This window comes from Homo sapiens, chromosome 3, assembly GCF_000001405.40.
Source record: "Homo sapiens chromosome 3, GRCh38.p14 Primary Assembly".
In the NCBI taxonomy this organism is placed as follows: domain Eukaryota; kingdom Metazoa; phylum Chordata; class Mammalia; order Primates; family Hominidae; genus Homo; species Homo sapiens.
The window spans coordinates 157,281,835-157,305,090 of record NC_000003.12 but is presented as its reverse complement, the minus strand read 5'-3'; the positions used below and the strand labels follow the sequence as shown (position 1 = coordinate 157,305,090).

The 23,256-nt window shown below is 38.4% G+C and overlaps 1 protein-coding gene and 1 long non-coding RNA gene across 16 annotated transcripts in view; one reads left to right on the top strand and one right to left on the bottom strand.

The window, feature by feature from the left end:
* LOC101928236 (uncharacterized) overlaps nucleotides 1-23,256 on the bottom strand; it is a 220,247-nt gene that overhangs the window by 88,856 nt on the left and 108,135 nt on the right. The window contains exons 4-5 of the long non-coding RNA XR_007096141.1: nucleotides 21,731-21,867; nucleotides 18,750-20,113 (exon numbers count right to left, since the gene is read on the bottom strand). This is a non-coding gene — a long non-coding RNA (uncharacterized LOC101928236). The remainder of the gene's footprint in view (nucleotides 1-18,749; nucleotides 20,114-21,730; nucleotides 21,868-23,256) is intronic.
* The window catches only part of VEPH1 (ventricular zone expressed PH domain containing 1), a 243,864-nt gene that overhangs the window by 198,515 nt on the left and 22,093 nt on the right, over nucleotides 1-23,256 (top strand). For all 15 annotated transcript variants that reach the window (XM_047448927.1, XM_047448922.1, XM_024453748.2 and 12 more), the window contains one exon: nucleotides 18,417-18,534. In XM_047448927.1, coding sequence (XP_047304883.1) covers nucleotides 18,417-18,534 — 118 coding nt within the window. The remainder of the gene's footprint in view (nucleotides 1-18,416; nucleotides 18,535-23,256) is intronic.

Sequence of the window (23,256 nt, the reverse complement as noted above, 5' to 3'; positions counted from 1 at the left end):
AGATGAAATAGAGAGATAGGAAGATAGATAGATAGATAGATAGATAGATAGATATAACAATACACAGTGAGAGACAACTATTTCCTGGCTCTCTCTGCTGAGAGAACAAAAAATATTAACCAATCCTGAAAAGTCATGTTTATGAGACATGTTTAATGATATGAAACACACTTACAGTAAATACCATATTTCAGGGTACAAAATTACTTTTATAAAGAATATTATTTGGAGGATTGCCCATTAAATCAACCAAAAGGAAATATAATAAAATGTTAATGATATAGCTCTAGTTGATGGGATTAGCATTTTCTTTTCTCTATATATTTCTTTTATAATCAAGGAAAAAATATTACTTTAAGTTATATTGCCTTATGTAAATGAGCAGTTTACTTGAAGAAAAATAGATTCTAAGATAATTAATTTCCATTATAAAATAAGGATTTTAGAAAGATGGTGGAGAAGCAGTTGATTTATTGAAGAAATGAGAAAGACCACCATGGAGCAAGTAGAGATTACTATTAATAATTTCGTTTCAGTGCATGTGCTACCCAACACTTCAGAGGGAATGGCACTCTGATTATCAGAGGACCAGAGAGTTGACAAAGTTGATTGAAGGATTACTAAAGGGCCAGAATTTCAGAAAGAAAAGGCCTTTATTAACACGTGTTCCAGTTACCAAAGCATAGGGAAATGTTGTATGCTGCAGAAATGGGATCTCAAAACTATGTCCCTTACAGAAAAAATAAAATAAAATAAACTACATTTTCTGCTGAAGTAAAATGTGCCCCATCTGGCTAACATTTGGTGATTTGTTTTCAGTCCACATTGCTACAAACACACTTGATAGTTCCCAGGATAACTGACAGGAGTGTCAAGGCATAAATAAAACTGAAACACTAATTCTGGGTGGAACCCAAGGAGACTTTCTGATGCTCCCACAGGCTTAGATCTAGTGTTTTGGGTTAAAGTGTTAATGTGCTTGAGTATATAAATGCATAAGTAAGTAAATAAAAGGTAGGCCTATTATATATAAGATGTAACAGTATGTGTGTATATATATATATATAAAAAATATAAGATGAGAAATTTAAGTCTACATGTGTGATAGAAATGACAAGTGCTGTGGAAGGTCAGTCTCCAGAAGAGCCGTATGAATATATGTTCAAGAGAACCTTCCTTTCAGGGCAAGCTAGAGGGGAAAGGGGTTTGGAATTTCAGAACCCCAGTGGGGGCGGAGGATTCTAGGCTTTCAGGCTATGAGCTCAGAACCAGGAAAATCTGACAGGCAGTTTCTAAGTGGCAATGGTGAGGTAAAAAGATAAACAGAAAATGTGAATGAGAGTCTACCCTAAGAAGCCAGACCAAGGGGCTAATCCAGTGCTTAAGGGGAAAACTAAATGAAGACTGCAAATCATGGAAGGACCTGGAGGGCAGATTGAAGGTGGAATGTGGATGCAGAGGCAAATGTCTGGGACACTCTTTGCTCAGGCAGGGAGCTGGCTGGAAAGTGGTAGAAATTGAAATACAGAGTTCGGAGGCTTTTTTATCTTTAAAGAGAAAAATGGTTCCATATAGAAAGAATGGCATGAGAAATAACACGGAGGAGACAAAATAATCACAGCAAAATCATGGTAAATATGACTCTAAGTTCATGTATTCAGTCAAAAATATTTTTTGCAAATGCCTGCTCTATACCAACCACTGTGCAGAGACTAAACAAACAATCATGATCCCTACCCTGATGGAAACAAGCAATACACTAAGAAACAAATACACAATTCCACACTGATAGATACTGTAAAAGATAATGCTTAAAGAAAATGAGCATTTGTTGGATGGTCAAGGAAGCCTTCTCTGAGCAGATGTCAGACAAGTTTTCCTGGCAATGAGAACAATTTGCACAAAGGCCTTGAAACAAAAAAACAAAAACAAAAAAGGAAGAATAAGAGAAAGGAAAAGCTTTGGTGTATTAGAGCATTCTCTTCAAATGTAAGTCACACATCTCATCAAAAAATTTTTTTGAGCAAGTACCTTCAATATGTGCACATTTATTTACCTTTAAACTATATACATACATTATTTTACATACTTGTTATTTCACTATAAAACATTGAAAAATAGAAATTTTAAAGGACGAGATGAAAAATAAATAGAAATGAAAGTTATATTTTCTTCCTCCTGTATCACAGTGGATGGTCACACCTACCCAAAAGTGAGCACACTCCCCTTTCACAGCATTGGTGGAGCCAGTGAACAAAGGGGAGAGTGGAGACTGGAGAGTTAATCTGGGGAATTCTGTCCTGGCCTTTTAGACCATGGCAAGAAGCTTAGATTTTTTTGTGGTCTATGGAAAGCCACGGAGGAGTTTTGAGCAGCAGTCCTTAGTTCAGTTTCTTTGTCCATTTGGGCTGCTATAACAAAATACTATTAACTGGGTGCTTATAAACAACAAAAATGTTTCTTACAGTTCTGGAGGCTGGGAAGCCCGAGATCAAGGCAGATTCAGTGTCTAGTGCGGGCCCACTTTCTGGCTTACAGATGTCACCCAAATGCTGTGTCCTCACGTGGTTGAAGGGACAAGTGATCTCTCCTGGGCTTCTTTAATAAGGCACTAATCCCGTTTATGAGGACTCCATCCCCAAGACTTAATACCTCCCAAAGGCCTCCCCTCCCAATGGTATCACCTTGGGGGATAGGATTTCGGTGTATGAATTTGGTGATGGTAGGGGGACATAAGCCTTCAGTCCATTGCAACCAGGTTGTTTTTAAAAGATTGCTCAGTCTGCTGTGTGGGGACTAGATTGGAAAGGGACAAAAGTAAAATTAAGGAGATCACAAAAGAGACTATTGCTAATCCAGGTAAGAGAAGAGAGTAGCTTAAACTTGGATGATCCTGGTAGGGATGGAAATAAATGACATATTCAATATAACGGTTGGAGGTAAAAGTGACATAACAAACTAATGAATGGCATGTAAGTGTGAGGGGAAATGAGGAATCAAAGCTGATGTCAAGTTTCTGGCATGGTGGTATCATTTATTAAGGTGGATAAAACTGGGAGAAAATGAGCTCTGGGGAGGGGCAAGTGAATGAAGCTGGCACACAAGACTTTCAGACATCCGAATCTGAAGTTTCAAACACCTGCCAGATGTCCCAGTGGAATTGTCTTTTAGACAGTTGGATATCCAAATATGAAGTGACTTAGGCCAGGAATATAGATTAGGACATCATCAGCATACAGATGATGAAAACCATGGGAAGACTGAAGCAATCTAGGAAGAGAGTTTAGAGAGGAAATGGTCCCAGTTCAGGATTGCATCCACACGGCAGCCAAGAAATAAAAGAACCTCAGAAAGTGTAGAGGGCATCACAGATATCAAGAAAGTGTCCAAGAAGGAGAAAGAAAGGAATTGTATGGGACTGGATAGCCAAATCAAGATAAGTGTCCATTCAACTGGGCAACATGGAAAGAGCAGTTTTAATAGAGTTTTAAGGGCAAGGTACGAACAGAAGTAGGTGGAGGAACAAGAAGGAACGAGTAAAGAAGGAAACATAGCATATGTAGAGAGCTGTTTTAAGCAGTTTGGTGCTGAATGGGTTGGTAAGTGGGGGGATTGTAGAGATGAGTGAAAATGGAAGCCTTCAGAGCCTGTTTGTAAATTGCCGGGATGATGCAATAGAGAGGTTGAGATTGATGAAACAGGCCCAGGAAAAAACAAAACAAAACAAAAAAAGGTTATTTCCTGAGTGAAGAAAATGATGGATTTGTGCTGAGTTTCTCTTTATAAGAACCCTCTGCTTCTCCTCATAGCCCCAATACACACTCTACTCTTCGCCTTCAAAAAACAGAACAAGTACACCCACCAAGCAACTGGCCAAGGTTAGGACAATAGCCACTAGGGCAAGATGAAGTTAACTGACCACGGCTATGTTTACAGCATGCTCCGTGGATAAGGCTTGCAATGCTAGATAACACCGGGAGAATTTTCAGCTTAAGCAAAAGATGGATTTTTATCACAGTTTATGTAGTATCAGTAGACTCACACTCCTCCACCAGAGCCACGATAGTTCATCCGGGATTAATATGGCTAACATAAGAGGAGAGGTTCACATGTGAAGAGTTCTTGAGAGAAGTGGCATGGCTTTTCACAAGCATGACTTTTATTGATGCCTTAGGACCACTGAGTTTGGAAGTTCAGCCAAATTCTAAACTTTGCCTCCCTAAATACTATTTCTACCTTCATTTGGATTCATTTCTTTTCCTTAACAGATATACATGAGGGCCCCTCATTTAAACAATTCTGTACACACAATCCATTATATTAAGTGATTGCATATGATTTTGTAAATACATTGAACTTAACTGACAGTTCTATTTACTATTAAGAAACATTTATTTTCATTGTAATACACTTGTCTGTTGTTTTTTACTCTTTCTTTTTAATCCTCTTATCTCCTTTAGAAAATTATTACCTTTACTCTTGGCTAATTAATATACACTATTCGTAACTCTCTAACCACTGTCCACATACACTGTACTTATACTATACATATGCTTTTTTAACAAATTTAAATTGGCATAGAAATGTTTTCTCAGTTTAGTTGAAATCCTGGTTTATCACATGTATTATATTTCTTTCATATTTCACAAGCCAGACTGTCCTATAATGAAGCATGTCAATTTTACTACTGTCGTGAACATTCCTTCACAGTTAGCCAGATGTTCTGCATCAGTCAAGGAAATTTTTTAAAAAAAGGAAAAACCTTTAGAAAATAGTTAACGAAATAACTCTATTCCTGGGGGAACAGAGGTATGCAATCCCTCTGCAATGTCTGTTCTAATCTAATAGTGGTTGGGTTCTTTTCTTAAATAATCAGTGCATGAGTAAAATCCTTTTTTTTTCTTTTGCTGCTATCATGGATATTATGTGAATGCCAACAAACACCAGGCACTATACTATTAGAATAAATAGCACCTCTTTTTGTGCAAGAAGAAAGTGTGGTAACTAGAAACTCAGGATCTGGGTTTGAATCCTGCCTCTACCACCTACTTACCAGCGCTTTTATCTAACTCCTGTGTGCCTTACCTTCTTTACCTGCAAAGTGCAGAAAATAGCAGTAAACACTTCGCAGGGATGTCGTGAGATTCAAAAGACATAATACATGTAAAGTCCATGGAGCAGTGATTGCCATATAGTAAGAGCTCAATAAACAGTAGCTGGTACTATTTTATTGCACCTCCTCTGCAAGACCCCTCCAAACAAAATGAATGACTCCCTCAGCCATATTCCCATAATCTTTCACAAATGTAAATAAAGACATCAACAACAACAAAATTGTTTGATTTTGATGTCTTTGTGCCTCTCATAGGCTGTGGGATCAGGCTCTTTCCATTAATGTCTGCATGTCCCAGCATCTATCATGGCATCATGGCCTGAGGCAGAGCAGCTACTCAGTAAATGTTTTGAGACTTTATATTCTCAGTCATGATAAAGGTTTCTTTCTTTCTTTCTTTTTTTTTTTTTTTTTTTTTGAGACAGGGCCTCACTCTATTGCCCAGGTTGGACTGCAGTAGCACAATGATGTCTCACTGCAGCCTCGACCTCCCAGGCTCAATCAATCCTCTTACCTCAGCCTCCCTAGTAGTTGGCACTACAGGCGCCCAACACCACACCTGGCTAATTTTTGTATTTTTTTGTAGAGGCAGGGTTTCATCATGTTGCCCAGGCTGGTCTCAAACTCCTGGACTCAAGTGATCCACCCACCTCAGCTGCCCAAAGGTCTGGGATTGTATGTGCGAGCCACTGCGTTTGGCCATGTTTCATTTTTTGAGAATGATTTTTATTTTCACAAATAGCCCAACATTTATCTGAGCCCATGTGTACTATAAAAAGAGACTGCTCAAACTGAATAATAAATTTCCATGTTAGAAGCTAAGTTTCACTAAAGTAATGAGCATTATTTTCTTGTATGGCTCACAAATATACACCACAAACAACTCCAAAAGACACATCTAAAAAGGTTTTGAGCAGAGGCTGTATCACTAAAATGCGAGTAGTCATGCACACTTAACACTATTTCAAAATATAAATTCTGGTTTCGACCTTAAAAATCATAGCAATTTAGATATCTCAATACTAGACATACCAAGAAAGAGAACAGTCAGTGCCACTATCAGCTTTTAATTTTAGAATCCTGAAAGTTGCATGTGGATTGGAAAAATGTTGGTTGTAGGGACATATTACCCTTTCCCCCTTAGGGATTCCATGAATATGGAGTAATTTCTATGTTTTTTTTAATTCAGTAAAAAAAACTATTTCCTAGAATCTAATTATGTTCCATGTATTATTATATTTTTATCCTTCATTCAATATAATTTTTGGTTTGATGCCTCATTTCTGGGTCTGGTAATTTCTTCTGCCAACAGACAGTCTACTTTGTAGCCAACCCAAAGTCCTCATGCTGCATGCAATCTCCTTTCTTTATGGTCTTTCACTAGGACTGAGAGTAGCCTTAGACCACCACACACTCTAGTGCTAGTTTCATGGAGTAGTTCTCAGACCTAGTTTATGCAAGTGTCCTTGGGGCGCTTGTTAAAAATGCAAATTCTTAGGGCCTCTGCAGATTTTGCAAATAATATTCACTGGGTAATCCTGTGACTCTAGATCTTTGACAAGTTATCCTGGTAGTTCTGGGGCAGGAGGTCCCACAGCCTCTTCTGATAAAACATCAAAACAGAGGCAAAGGCAACTGAGATCCAGCTGACTTAGTTTGAGTGACATCACTACCACAGACATGCTCTGGGAACTGGGCAAGTCATTAACCTCACTACAGCTTGATTTCTTCATCTATAACTAGGAAAGAATCCACCTCCCTCATAGGGTTGTTAAGAAGGTAAAATGAGATGATGCATTTAATTCAACACCTAGCAGAGCACCTGGAACAGAGTAAGTGCAGCTATAAAACTATTATTTCATAAACTGCAAGGCTGGCACCAAATCACCTGTTTAGTCTTCCCTTTTCTGTGTGTAGATATCTTTGTGGTTCTGCCCTGAATTTTTTTCAATTTTTGGCCTCCTCAGTAAGAACTGAGTGCCATGGTCTATGTCTGATCAGGGCCTGGGTACCTCATTATCATCCTGTGTGTGTGTCTAATTATTCCCTGAATGGACACACTTCATTGCACCTTTTTATTTCAGCCTCATTAGAGTGCTCCATTGGCCCACCTTGTTATTTCCCGTCTCTTCACTAATGTCCCTTTTTTCTGCACCTCCTTTCAGTCTTCACATCTTCTTATGCCTATTTCTTTCTTCGTCGTATTAAATCCCTCCTTTTATGCTTGTCATTATTCCCTCCTTTCTACACAACTCATTACACCCCTCCATCTGTGAACTGCCTTATGCCATCCCATTTCTATCTCATCACATCCTCATCATGCACATATTAGCTCCTCCATTCATGCTTAGTACTGCATTCTTTCTCTCTGCTTCTTATCTACCACAACCTGCCCTTTCCACCCTCCCATTTAATGCTCCCATTTGTAAATCACATTACACCCCCCATGTCTTTATCATTACACTCATCTATTTATGCATCTCATTGCACCATTACCCATGCACATTTTTCTATGCTTTTCTATTTGTACATCACATTATGGCCTCATCAAGCATGCACATGTCATTATTCCCCTCTGAAATGTTCATGTCCACGTCGCATTACATCTCTTTATGTTTGCATCTCATTAAATCCAGCGCTCCTAGGTTTGACAACAAACTAACAAAAACAGACAGGTAAGTATGTTACCTGATTTTAGAAAACTAAATATGTTTCTCAGGCACCTAGCATTAGTGTTTCTTAAAGAAGTCATTCATTTCAGAAAGATTTACATACATTTATCTAGCTGAGAGACAAAAAACACTATATTTTACACACATAAAAAGGAGCTTCTTATTTTGCTTGATTTGAATTATCATCATCACTGCTTTTTTTTGAGATGGGGTCTCACTATGTTGCCCAGGCTGGTCTCAAAATTCCTGAGCTCAAGCAATCTGCCCACCTCAGCCTCCCAATATGCTGGGATTACAGGTGCAAGCCACTGTGCTTGGCCATTATCACTACTTTTTATTATTTCTCCACAGTTTACAAAGTAGTGCAATTATCCATTAATTGATTGTGGCAAAAAGTCACTGAAAGAGACAGGTTAGGAATCAAAGTCATTTTATAGTTTGAGGAGTGCATTAAAAGCAAAGAGAAATTAAAATATTTTCCCAAGAACTGCCAGTGAATGGCAGTGGCAGGGCTCAAACTCTGATCTTCTGACTCCAAAATCTATATTCTTCATTCTGTACCACTCAGCAGAAAAACTTTTATTTCTAAGTATCCTCTCTGTCACTTAGCCTATGCTGTAATAATTCTCTAAGACAGAACTTGGTGTCAGCATGCTTTGTTTTGTTTGGTTTTCTGAAACAAAATAGAACATATTTCAAACACTTAGTACTTTAGACCTGTTTATCTCCAAGTTTGAAGAGCTAAAAGTTAAAAGAAACTGTAACATGGAGCCTTCTAACAAGAGAAAGGAGAAAGACTTTCACCACCAAGGTCAGTCTCAACACAGGCAAAAGAAGGAGACTCCTCTACAGGGAGTTTGAGGGGTACCAAGGAAGCCCACACACGCATACACACGCAGAACCTTTCTTCCTCACAGAGTCTGACCCTTGCTAGTCTCTTTGCTTCACTAAACTGTGTTCTCTGCCTCATTTTTATTTTTCATCAAATTATGAAATAGCTCATAAATTCAGAAAAGTACAGAAATGTGATATCCATTCCTGCCACAGATAGATGTTTACATTTCTTCCATATTTGCATCAGATATCTCCCTTTACAAAAAGAAACTGTTGTAAATATTCTCCTGAGGTTGTTGTGTATTATTTCCATGAATGCTTTTGTACTGTTGTTTTAAACTTTTACCTAAATGTTATCAGATGGCACATATCTTTTGCAATGTGATTTCTGCACTTAATGTTATGTTTTTTAAATATATCTGTTCATACATGTAGAGCTAGCTCGTTCATTTCAGCATCTATAAAATTTTCCACTGTGTAAATAGACCATAATTTATTTATTTATTTATTTTTTTTTGAGATGGAGTCTCACTCTGTTGCCCAGGCTAGAGTGCAGTGACCTAATCTTGGCTCACTGCAACGTCTGCCTCCCAGGTTCAAGCGATTCTCCAGCCTCAGCCTCCTGGGTAGCTGGGACGACAGGCCTGTGCCATCACATCCAGCTAATTTTTAAATATTTAGTAGAGATGGGGTTTCACCATGTTGGCCAGGCTGGTCTCCAACTCCTGAGCTCAAGTGATCCGCCTGCCTCAGCCTCCCAACATGCTGGGATTACAGGCATGAGCCACTGTGCCTGACCAACCGTAGTTTACTTTATCCAGTTCTCTACTGAGGGGTGGTTCAACTTTCTTAAAACTGCCTCCAACACCAGCTCTCTGCTGTGTGAAGTGACTAAATGGAGACATTTAAAATTCCAGCATCATGGGAAGTAATACCTTCTCTCTAAGTCCATAGTAGAGTCAGTTTTATTTCCTCTGTAACTATACAAAGTAGTAAACATGTCAACAAAATGATAATTCTTTTTTTTTTTTAATTTTTTCAAGACAGGGTCTTGCTCTGTTGCCCAGAATGGAGTGCAGTGGTGCCATCATAGCTCACTGCCTCCACGAACTCCTGGGTTTAAGTGATCCTTCTACCTCAGCCTCCTGGGTAGCTTGAATAGCAAGTTGGCAGAACCTAGTGAAATTGAGGATATGAATAATGTTAAATTTTTAATGTATCATGCAAACAAGGTTTCTGGGGGCATCACAGATTACTATTATTTACTTAGCAACAAATAACCTCCTAAGTTTCCTTTTGCCTCAGTTGTTAGCCCTGGGGCAACATGATGAGAACCAGATGTCATCTTACACATCCTAGGGTCTGTACTGTAGGCAAGGAACCTTGACAATGTGAATTTGAGTATTTACATAGGGGGTGGAACAGCTGTCCCTGAAAGGAGAGAACAAAAATCTTTGCTCATTGGGAAGGGGTCTGGGTTCTTACTTTTACCCTTTAGAATGTAAATAAACCCCTCCAGGTTGAAGGGAAGACTAATGTCTCCAGCTTGACAACCCAAGCTCCTATATCCTGGGTCTCATCCCCATCTTAAAATGTAAACATACCTCTGGGAAAATAAATCTCTCTAGATGGTATTTCACTTTCTAATTAGTCATAAATTTACTTCTAAAGCTTGTTTTTTTAGCCCAGGTCCCAAGTTTCAGTAAAATTTGTTCAAAAAGCCCTAACTGTGCAGAAACACAAAAATATTTTCACAGCCCTAAACTAATACACTATGACACAGCAATTCCACTCCTGAGTGATTATCACAGAAAAATTTTTGCTCACATCCACAAGGGAACACGTGTAAGAATATTCATCATTACATCATTGTGTAAGTTCAGAGATGGGGGCACCCTTGGTGCCCACACTAAGGAAATGGTTAGGTGAAATGTTGGGGGTGGTGGATGCACACCATTAAATCACTGTGCAGCTGTAGAGGCAACAGTTAGCTAAATATGCATAGAATACCACATAGAGATCTTGAGTGAAACAAACAAGAAACCAAATAGGGTTCACAGCATACCATTATTTGCAAAAATGAAAAATAAACATTGCTACGTATTTTTCAAGAATACGTATCTGTTCCAAGACATGTGTCAAACCCAAAAGGTGAATACTTATAAAAAGGGGAAGTTGGAGAAACAGTCTGAGAATTAAAGTGGTATTAGGGATAAAGGAAAAAAAATAAAATTATGAGAATGAGAGAAGCACCTTGGCTCCAACTAAATAACCTACATGGTTAGGAGCATGGTTTTCCTGCTATCTGATTTCAAAAGGAAGGAAAAAAAGCCTCTCCAAATTAGCTCTTTAACATCAGCATTCTCTGTAGTATAGTACCACAAATAGATTTAACAAGTAGTACTAAATATTTGTTGAATGTAGGTGGCAGTAATCAATTAGAAAAAAAAATCACTGCAATTCTTTGCTTTGCACTATGAAAGGAGAATATGTAAGTGCTGGCTATAATTGCCAAAAGTTCTGTGATTACATTTTACTGCTGAACCACTGTAAAAATCTTAAAGTTTTCTTGACCTTTTGAACATTGGTAGTGTTTTGGCCTTGCTCCCACTCTAATAATTTGCTGGTTTTAATGAACTGAAGTTTCAAAGAAATTGTATTTGTAAAAAAGATAATTGTGGTTTTATCAAACATTTATAAAACTTGTTATATAGCTTCATGCAATTTGCCACCTTTATTTTCTACTCAACTCATACACTTCCATTAAATTTTTCACAAACTGTTTTACTTAAACTCTTGTCATGTTAACTGCCAATATCCTGTAGTCAGATTATTTTTTCATGATTTTTAGATGAGTGTGATTTTGGTGAATTTGGCTTTTTTTTATTTTGTCATATTTGTTCTTAAATTAAAGTATTCTTCAGAGCTTCTCTCTGAAATGAATCAAACATAGTGTTTTCTTCCAGCCACTTGGAGCCAGACACATAGAATTGCCATGATTTTCCAAGAAGAAATTCAGTTCTTCCCAACACATAGGGACTCAAAGGATAGAAGTATAAGTTTATTTAGTGATATGTAGTGATAGTGAGGAGTTTGCCACATTGGCCTCATATAGTCATGTGTACCTCGAGTTCCCTTACTAATTAGGCATAGAAATATGAGAGCCAATGGGACATAGCACATGCATGGCATTCATGCAGAATACTGAAATGCACTATGAGTCCTTCCACATCAGTGCCCTGCTGCCTCTGCTTAGAGTCTGCTCCCCCATGGCCTACCTCCCTCTCCACCCACTCCAGCCTTCTGCCAAGTTTCAAATTGGGCCCAATGAGTTCAATTTTCACACCTGATCTCTTCTTGCCGTATTGCACAATTTGGAATAATAACATCTCTGATGTTTAAAAATGAAAGCTTTGCTCTTGTGACCAGTCTACCTGTTTTGTCATATGAAATGAAACTTTTTTCTTTTTTCTTTTTTTTTTTTTTTTGAGGTGGAGTTTTGCTCTTGTTGCCCAGACTGGAGTGCAATGGTGCGATCTCAGCTCACCGCAACCTCCGCCTCCTGGGCTCAAGCGATTCTCCTGCCTCAGCCTCCCAAGTAGCTGGCATTACAGGCACTTGCCACCGTGCCTGGCTAATTTTTTTTTTTTTTTTTTTTTTTTAGTAGAGAGGGGGTTTCATCATCTGGTCTTGAACTCCTGACCTTGTGATCCACCCACCTCCGCCTCCCAAAGTGCTGGGATTACAGGCATGAGCCACTGCACCCGGCCTCTTTTTTCTTTTTTTAGGTCTCACTCTGTTGCCCAGACTGCAGTGCAGTGGTGAGATCTCAGCTCACTGCAACCTCTGCCTCCCACATTCAAACAATTCTTGTGCCTCAGCCTCCCAAGTAGCTACGATGATAGGTGCCTGCCACCACGCCCAGCTAATTTTTGTATTTTTAGTAGAAACGAGGTTTCACCGGGCTGGCCAGGCTGGTCTCCAACTCCTGACCTCAAGTGATCTACCCACCTTGGCCTCTCAAAGTGCTGGGATTACAGGTTTGAGCCACCATACCTGACCCCTTGAAACCAAACTATTGTGGAAAAGAATGAGCATATGCACATGGAGATTGACAAATTCCTCAAATACCAATCAGTGGACACAAATCAGCCATCCCCACAACTGCTTTGAAAGACATAGGATTAATTTTACAGTCAGGGCACACCAGAGCAACTCGGGGAGCTTGTGTAAAAATGTAGATGGCGTGCAGTGGCTCAGGACTTCTAATCACAGCACTCTGGGAGGCTGAGGTGGAAAGATTGTTTGAGCCCAAGCATCTAAGACTAGCCTGGGCAACATAGCGAGAACTCTGAACAGACGATCTGAAAAAGCTGAGGGTCTTGAGAACAAGTAGTCAACATACTATATTGATGAATTAAGACAAACATCATTGTTCAATTATTAACACTTTATTCTAAAAACTTGTTAAATAAAATGAATTTTTGTAATACCCATAGATATGCAGATATATAGAGATAGATATATAGAGAGAGAGATAGATTTTTTTAACAAATGTAGTCTGGAAAGTCTTAATGGTCATAGTTGAATAGACATGAACACTGAAAACCTAAATGCTACTGTTGATATAAATTAGAGATAAGATCTATGTGCTTCAATTAGTAAAAATGCATAATAATTCATTGAACATTTACTATGGGCAAAGTGCCATACTAAGTATTTTTAAAAGCTGCAAAACAATATGGAAGTCAGTCTTCATGGTAAGAGCTTTAATCCAGTTGAGAGCCAAAACATCACACCAGAAGAAGCTTAGTAACAATCACACCTCACACAAATGAAGCTGTATTCAGTTTCCTCTGTGAAGAATACTGCAGACACAATGAATTACCTTCTCACCTCCTTGGACTGATGACTATGTCTCTTTCATCTCTTTATCCATGGTTCCTGATACCAGGTGCTATGAATACTGTGTTACATAAATTGAATCCAATAGTAATATTTTTCACAAGTTGAAAAACATAAAAAAATTGTGGCATGGATATTCTTTAAAGTCTCTTTTGCTGTTTATTTATTCAACAAACAGCATTTCCTACTAGACACTATGCCTATAACAATTTAAGACAATATGAAGATCAATCATTAATTATATTCCCTAAGCAAGCTTATTTCACACCTTGTACTCCATATCATTAGAGTATGTGCACTGAAAATAACTATACAAACATAAACTTATTATTATGTGAAAATATTTGGGAATTTTTAAAAATACTTGCTTACATGTCTTAAAACATACTTGAAATATGTGCCTAGAGTGATCCTATTAACCACAGGCACACAGTGCACATAAGGCAATCCTATGTTTTGTATCTGTGCACAAATAGCTTTAGGACAGAATTTAAATGTGCCAAAACCCAAAGTTCTTCCAGATGTATGCTTTCACTGATTTCTGGAAAATTGCTTCACAGTACCCTCTCAAAGTACATAGACCACATTATAAAATCCAGAGGCCACTATGCACTTTTACAAAATCCATTGCGTTGACTCATGCTGTCATTTGTCAGTGAAATGATGTTGTAAATCTCTCATCTTTCTATGCTGCCTGGCTTAGACTTATTATAGAGTTTTCCAAATTCCTACCCTCATTAATGACTCTTTTTCTAAAACCGGAGAAATGCTCACTTAGCCAAATGTTTAAAAATACTATTTTTTCCTCCAGTGAGTTTTAATCTTCTTGAATTAAATGATGTTTATCAGGAAAACCCTTATTAGTGCATGCCTACTATGAATATGTATCCTTTTTTTTACATCAATGAAAATAGTTTGAACTTCAACATTCTTTTGTGTTTTATTTTGTGTGTATATGTTTTATTGAGGCCTGATTTGGAGTGTACTTGGGAGAATGTGACTCCTCTAAGTAGAATCATCACTTTCATGGAGAATTGGGCAAAAGGATGTCATTTTTTCTTCCTCTTCACGGCACAATCTCAGTATTAGTTTTCAATAATGCGTAACAAATTAGCACAAACCTAGCAACTTAAAACAACACATACTTATTATCTCACAGTACCAGAGTGTCAGGATTTCAGTTGTAACTTAGCTGGGTCCTCCATTCAGGGTCTCACAGGGCTACAGTCAAGGTATTGGCTAGGCTGTGTTTTCATTTGGAGGTTCAAATGGGTAGGATCTGCTTTCAAACTCATTCTGTTTGTTGGCAAGAATCATTTTTTTGCAGTTGTAGGACTGATGACTTTGAACTCTTACTGGCTACCAGCTGAAGGCCTCCTTTAAGATCCTAAAAGCCACGCATAGTCCCTGCAGTTCATAATGTGGCAATTTGGTTCCTTCAAGCACAGCAGGAGGGTCTCCCTATGCATCTGCTAGCAAGACAGGTTGTGTGTGTGTGTGTGTGTGTGTGTGTGTGTGTGTGTGTGTGTGTTTGTGTATAATAACAACGGAATTGATATCCTATCCCCTTTGACATATTCTTGGCCAGAAGCAATTCATAAGTCCTTCCCATACACAGGGAATGGGAGTATACAAACAGATGAACACCACAAGGTGAAAATTACTGGGAGGTCACCTTAGGGTCTGTCTGCCACAATCCCATTAGAACTGAAAAATACTCAGACAGTGACTTACAGTTAGATATAAGTTATTTTTATCACTTTTCTGGAGTCTAGTTATCTTAAAGAAAGTTTGTAATTCTCTAAACAAATCTATTTTTGTTCTCCTGTTAGAAAAATAGAAGCCATATAGCAATTCTTGGGCAAGCCCTAGGGAAGCTGCAGGACCCAGAAGGGTAAAGAAGGTTGAGTAGGAGAGAGAACTACTGACCTCAAGCACATTTAAGAGGTCAAAATTCCAAAAATCTAGGTGTCACTGGTTGTTGGTTTGTGTTTGCTTGTTTTGTGATTTATTTTGCTTTGATTTTTCACAAATATTGGAAACTATATGTGTTTCATCTGTCTTTCCATTCGAAGTGTGCTATTATCACCAACTTCAAAGTTCATACAACTACCGTGGATATCCTTTAGCACAACACCTAAATCCTCTGAGGAGGTAAGCCTGCTTTTGGCTTCAGAAATTGAACGCAGGAAGGTAGTTTACCATCTGTCTGAAACGTTTAAACTTTTTTCCAAGACAAATGTGGATTATGCGCAACAAACTGGGAATTTTCTGGTCTCAGAACAGGAAAAATAAAGGAACCCTTAAGTATTATTTTAAGTACTTTGTTTGCTAGTAGTGTTTGTGGTGAATGAAAAATTGATCCTTAATTGTGTGGGAAACAGAGAAGTAATGTGCATGGCAATGGCCAAGTACAGACTTCAGAGACTTCACAGTTTTGAAACTGATACTTATGAACATCTGCTTTTTCCCCATAAATTTTAATATGGATTGTATCCTTTGAAACTCACAAAATTCCCAGGTGCTTCTTCAGTCTTTATCTTGGAAAACATACTTTTTAAAAAAAAAGTCTTTTTTTCCATTGAACATATTCAAAATCATTTTTGTCAAAACAATATTCCTAGATATACAGCACCTATTGGAATGCCTGAGATACGGTATTAAAGGTTAGCAACCCAAAATGTTGCAGTCACCATGTCAAACCTCCAAAATGTCCAACCCCAGAACACAAGCCATAAGAGTCTTAATAGAGGATGCGGAAAAGTATCCATTTCTAGGCCCAGGGCATGCCTTTTGTTATTACACAAATATTTGTTTAGTGCTTGCTATGTGATAGGCACTTTCAGGTGCCAAGTTTATAGCAGCCAACACAACAGACAAAATATCTGTCCTCATTGTGTTTATGTTCCAGGGAGTGTAAATGTTCTCTTTAAAAATTCCCTTTAACTTTTTGTACTATCTTTTATATAGTTCGTTAGTAAAAAACTTTGTGCTGGGTCTACAAACCAATGCTAATCCATTAATGATGCTGGACTGGACTCTGGGGGTATTATGAAAAAAAAAAATATGTTTCTGTTCTCAGTGAACTGATAGTTGGACATACTTCTTACCTCTGTCAAGAAATTTAGAACTGAGAATTAGGAGCTTTGGGATGCAATCAGGATAGCCACTTGATCATTCTCTATTTAGATCCCTTATAAGCAGTGCAAACAGTGCCTACACGCCTCAGCCTTGAAAATTCTAAGAACTATTCCTATACAGAGAGAAGATAAGAGTGTGTAGGCTAAAGGAAAGGAAATAAAATCACAGCTCAACAGAGCACAAACATGTTAGTTGGCTGGGTACATGCAAGGCCAATAAGAACATTAAGTCCCTCTTAGGAGGAGGAGCCTTTTAAGAATGCAGTTTCTGGTCATCCATCCTATACCAAAGGATACAAGTCATTTACATAAGAGGAAAGCCTCAGGAGGACAGTAGAGCTATTTAATTTGGTTAGGCTAATAGTTTTCCATCCATTTACAGTCTAACAGAACCTCTCTGCCCTGCCCCTTAAAGAGGAACTCATTGGCATGGTGCCACAGGGCACATAAAACATGTGCAGTCTTCTTGGAGTGTCAATTCTACTCAACCACTTGGAGGAAAAAAGTTAACTAATTTATTGGTAAATAATTCAATGCATTATTTTCCATTAAAACCAATGCAGGCCATGCACGGTGGCTCATGCCTGCAATCCCAGCCTTTTGGGAGGCCAAGGAAGGTGGATCACTTGAGATCAGGAGTTGGAGACCAGCCTGGCCAACACGGCATAACCCTGTCTCTACTAGATATACAAAAATTAGCCAGGTGTGGTGGCAGGCACCCGTAAACCCAGCTGCTCAGGAGGCTGACACACGAGAATCACTTGAACCCAGGAGGTGAAGGTTGCAGTAAGCCAAGATCACACCACTGCACTCCAACCTGGACAACAGAGTGAGACTCTATCTCAGTAAAAAAATAAAAGTAAAAATTAAAAAAAAATCAATGTAGCTTATATTATGTAATAGAATGCAAAATTTGCATACACTTTTAGAATAAAGCAAAAGAACTAAACAGTCCTGGAGCCAAGGGCTGAGGGATTAAGCCCCACCCCCATATTTTCCATCAGCCCCCTGTAAAGCCAACATAATAAATATTATATATATATATATTTTTTGAGACAGGGTCTCACTCTGTCACCCGGGCTGGAGTACAGTGGTGCAATCTTGCCTCACTGCAACCTCCGCCTCACAGGCTCAAGCGATCCTCTCACCTCAGCCTCCTGAGTAGCTGGGACCACAGGCATATACCACCATGCCTGGCTAATGTTTTTGTATTTTTGGTAGAGACGAGGTTTTGCCATGTTGCCCAGGCTGGTCTTGAACTCCTGAGTTCAGGCAATCTGCCTGCCTCAGCCTCCCAGAGTGTTGGGATTACAGGCATGACCCACCACGCCCGGCCAATAATATTTTTTGATATGGATAATTGGTTCTCAATTTTATATAAATGTAAATCCCCCAGCAGCATGTCTTCCAACCACATTGCCACTTGGATATCCCTTCTTTTTAGAAAATCTGGAGCCACTGCTAGATGCAAGAAAATTCTGGGCCATTTCAAGCTCTGACACCTCAACCCTGACACTCAGCCCTGGGGCCTGTGCTCGCTCCCGCTGCATTTATGAATACTCTTCTGGAAAAGTTTAGCTGAATGCTTTTTTTAAGGTTGGCCAAGAGAAATTTTTTCAATGCTGCCTCTTAGTCTTTAGTACTGAGATTGAGCATTGACCATCCTGATCCACATCCCCTTCTCCCAGTCTCAGAATGTTAGGTAGCAGGCAGAGCAGCTTATGTTCTTTGTGCTTTGTGTTCCTGACACAGGATCTGGACCAGGTACAGCTCCATCTGGAAGAAGTGAGGTTCTTTGACGTGTTTGGCTTCAGTGAAACAGCAGGAGCATGGCAATGCTTCATGTGCAACAATCCTGAGAAAGCAACTGGTGAGAGACCCTTACCTGCTGCTAAGAACCATTTGTGCCCCAAATTACAGGGATCTGTCAGCTCCATTTTTCTAGGTGGCCTTCCTCTTGCATAAACATCCCCAGTTGTAATAATGCACAGAGTCATGTCCCTGCTTTGTGCTGAGAAAGGCGTCTCACCAAAGTGGTCGTAGGAAAAAGGGAAAACTTTGGGAGGCAGAGAAACAATCCCTTACCTATATGTGGTTATCAAGGAAGCAGTATCAGCCATTTTGCCCTAAAAGTATTCATTTCATCCAGATGACCCTGAGGGTTAGAGAGAAAAAAAGTGTTCTCTCAAGATGTGTTCTTTAAGGAAATGAGACCACACTAAATGAGTGAATCAGCACACAGACCATATTATCTCACGTAATCCCTAACACTGTTGCTTGATGATTAAACTGTAAAAAGTGAAGCATTGAAATAGGAAGAAATTATCTGAGAAATAACCTCATAGCTGGTTATTCGCCTTCCACTTCCTTTCTGCTGCTCAAGTTATTTGGTCTACTGACCTTGCCTAAAAATAATTGTTAGCAAATACAAGTCATGCCCTGTGCTAAACATATCAGACACCTTATCTCATTTAATCAGTCCTTGCAATACTCTTATGAGGAAAATACTGACATTATCTCTGCTTTACTGATGAGGAAACTGAGGCACAGAGAGGTATGGTAACTGCCCAAGGTCACAAAGATAAATTAACAGCAGCAGAATTTGAACGCAGCCTGACTCTAGAACCCATGCTCTTAACCATTTCACCATTCTGCCTTCTGGTTACACTTGCTCAATCCAACCAGTGGAAACACGTTGCTAATAAGCCTATATCCAAAAAGTTATGCTGTCATTGGAAGTGAAATATTTCATCACTAATGTGCCCTTTGAGAGGAGAGAGCTCTCAATGCTGACTCGGCTCAGGAACTGCATTTAGGATCACAAGAGCAGTGTTAAAAAGACTGTGGAACACAAAGCCACTTTGTAGATGAGCCATCTTCTAGGCAGCCATTGATTATACCACCTGTACCTGGTCCTTTAATTTTAGGATTTTATGCATCTTAAAGATTACCCATTGTGGCAAGTCTGTCCTCTTGTTAACTGCCAAGATGTTGAGGCTGAATAGTAAAAGTATGTTTATTTGGCCAGATGGAGATGTGTAGGGCTCTCAGAGAAGTACCAATTAAAATGTATTACCCCACGGAAAAGGTGCGGATGGCAGAAGCTGGCAGTTAGGACGCCAGCCTTTGTGAAGCACAGATTGTTGGCTGATTACAGAGTCTGGATTGAGCCAACGCCAGAGTGAACACCCCAATTTTTTAAAAGTTAATTCAAACAAATAAGGAATTGGGGAATTGACTGCCTCCATTATAAAACTTTCTAATTAGACCTTATTTTATATATGAAAAAGACAGAGCATAAAAGAAGCTTTATTTGAGAGCTACTAAAATAAGGTACTTATCTTAGGTATCTCTGAGAGGCCCTGAAGAGTTTTCACTCCAAGTAAGCTGAGTCCTTAGTTTGATAAATATTTAATCATATCTGGCCAAGGGAGGCCTCAGAAAAGGGGCTGAAAGTTAAAAACACAAAGTGTTCCTTTAATACATGTTTTCTCAAATTCACTGCCATGCTCTTGAAATGAACGTTCTGCACATTTACTCTTTCTTATTTGTGTTCCTCACAGTTAAATATAGACTGAGAACATATAGCAATAAAAATTCAAACAAGGCCAAATATTTTATAGCAGAGCATATTGAATCAAAATGTTTGGCCCTGAAAACTTCAGTGGGTTTGGATTTCTTTGCTCATTTCCTTTTGCTACATGAAAGAGGATTTGAGTTTAAGAAAAGTCCTATTTTAAACTGTTTTTTTTTTTTTTCACCAAAACCCTTGACTCCCTGGATAGTTTATATAGGTTGTTGATTTCATCTTCTTTTTTATATAAGCACTTAAATTATATATTTAATCTAAGTGAAAGGTCTAACATAATATTGTTGCCAAATATATTTTTCATGGAGACAGTATTTGCATTCAAGTTCTGCTTAAATTCAAAGTTTAAAGATGAGACATAGCAACAAATGCTTTATTGGTCATGCACAGCTAGCATATTCCTTGCATCCAATTTTTCATTTATGCAATGCATGTTTGTTGCATTAGGTGAGTGTCTTCTACAGGCTGACCCTTGGGATAGAAATATGAATAAGGTACAGTGTCTCTGCTCTAAAAGAAATTCATAATCCAGTTAGAGCCAAAAGGTGTATTCGAAAAAATCTAGCATACTTCTTTTATGTTTTTAGCATGCTATATTTGTTGAGTGAGTGAATGAATGAATGAATGAATAATATTTTTAAATGGCAATGTCAAATATTCCTTGAATGTTAAAATGTGATGTTTCAAGATTGTGATTATATGGTAACGATATCAAATTCATCACTATACCATACCCAAAGCATTCTGAACCTGGTAAATGAAGATTAGGGCTGTTTCCTCCCTGAGAGAAGTCACCGCTTGTAAAGGCTTGATCCACTTACCTGCCTGTCTTAGCGCCTAGAATGTACTATGCCCAACTGAGTACTATGTACTGGTCTGGGTTTCATCAACACCCACACAGGGGCCAGCTGCCCTATCAGCCTCAGGGAGAAGGGGTCCAAAGAAGTAGAATTGAAGTCTAGAACAAAAGGCCAAATAAACTGGGTTTTTGATATTTTTTAAAAGAATTGACAAATGATACAGTAATTGTTTTCAAGTATTCACGTTTCAATATTTTTTAATGCTGTCCAGCATCTCCATAAATGAGGAATAAAACATGAGACAATTAGAGAATTTCAGTTAGACATTAGGAAAGACATCAAGAAATATATAATACTTCTTAACTGTGTAGACTCAGCCAGAGGAATCCTTCAGAAATTGACAGTATCTCAGCTTACTGACATGGTCAACTCACATACATTCCTGTCTTCAAGTAAGTCTCATCACCATCCTCCCACCAACTTCACCATCAACACACAGAAATTCACAGGAGTTTAATATCTGGTGATCAATAAAATATTTTTATCCAGTAATGTACAGATAGTCAGAGGAAAGTAAATGCTAAAATAATGTAGAGGCCCTGACATGATTTATAATTGTTAGCATTTATCACTCTAATAATATGCTAAGCTTGCATGCATTTTTCTCATTTTCTCACCATTATTGACTTCATTTTACAGATCAGAAAACTGAAACACAAAGAGATTAAGTAATTTTCGCAAGGTCACACAGCTTCTCAGTGATGGAACCAGTATTTTAATCCAGACAGCCAATTCCAGAACCTGACTTTTCAACCTGTAGGGAAAATTCAAGTTAAGGACATGAAATATTGGAAATTTCAAGAGCAATCATTCAGTAATGTTATAATATATTATAAAGACCCAGAGACAAGTTTAATTTTTTAGAAGTGATCTACTTCCTCGATGACTTACTCTACTTAAAGAAGAACAGAGACTTTATTATGATAATGTGTGAGAAATTATTACTTGCAGGAAATGATTACAGTAGAATCTATTTCCTATTCTTCCAACTGCTGATTCATTTTCTGATAATCATTTTATAAAAGTTCAGAGTAGAAGATTAGAAAATTTCTGAAATAACTCAGTAATCCTCAGAGACTTGCCTGGTGGTGTTTATTGCAGATCTTGTTATTCCACATGAATGAGAGAATGGAGATTGAGCAAGGAGATTGAACAGAGCAGAACTTATTTCTGGAAAACCAAGCTAATCTTCTTTATCAGTTGCCCTTGTGTCTTGGAATTGCACAGTGTATGTTGACAGTAAGAGTTAGTCAGCTGGTCTGTCCTAGAACACATCTGGCTTCCTCTTCAGTCACATTTTGTTAAAGTAGGAGGAAGAACTGGGTCATGACTTTCACTCATTTCTCGAGACACATGAGATGCCTTTGTTCTTACACCCTACAAAAAACAACTTAGAGTTTTGGCACTCCTGTCCTCCTCGATAAATCTAAGCAGCCCCATGTGATTAGTCTCTTAGTCACTAGACATTTAAAATTTGAATGTGATCATCAGTAGAAGGTCTTCTTGGGTTCTAAAAGAAAATGGAACAATTTTTTCAAACAACTTTCTATCATGATTCATCTTTAGAACTTGATTTCAAATAGTTGTGTTATAAGAACATACTGTCAAGCTGAGTGCAATGGCACGTGCCTGTAGTCCCAGCTACTCAGGAAAGAGTGGCGGGAAGATTGCTTAAGGCCAGGAGTTTGAAGCTGTGGTGTACCATGATCATGCCTATGAATAGCCACTGCACTCCAGCCTGGCCAACATAGCATAGACCCTGTCTCTAAATCTAAACTAATTAACTAAATAAATAAATATGAATAAAAAAAGAATGTGCTATTTATTATATTATATTAGATTATGAATACATGGGCAAATGGAGATGGTTTCAAAATGCCTCCTGTGTCAGGAGAGTTTTTTCAGACAGTCAAAAGAATTGGTAACAGCAGTTGTGGGTCTCCTTTGGGGGCACCCTTCATGCGAGCTAGATTATTTTTCCACTCTAGATGCCAATGTGAAAATGAACTAAATGACCTCTGAGAGGACCTAGCCCATAAGGCCACCAATAGCCTTGTGAGTCTATGAATATGAAGCTTTTCCATTAAATTTCAATGTCAACTTTCATAGAACTTTAAAAGTGATAAAAGAAAACTCAATTTTG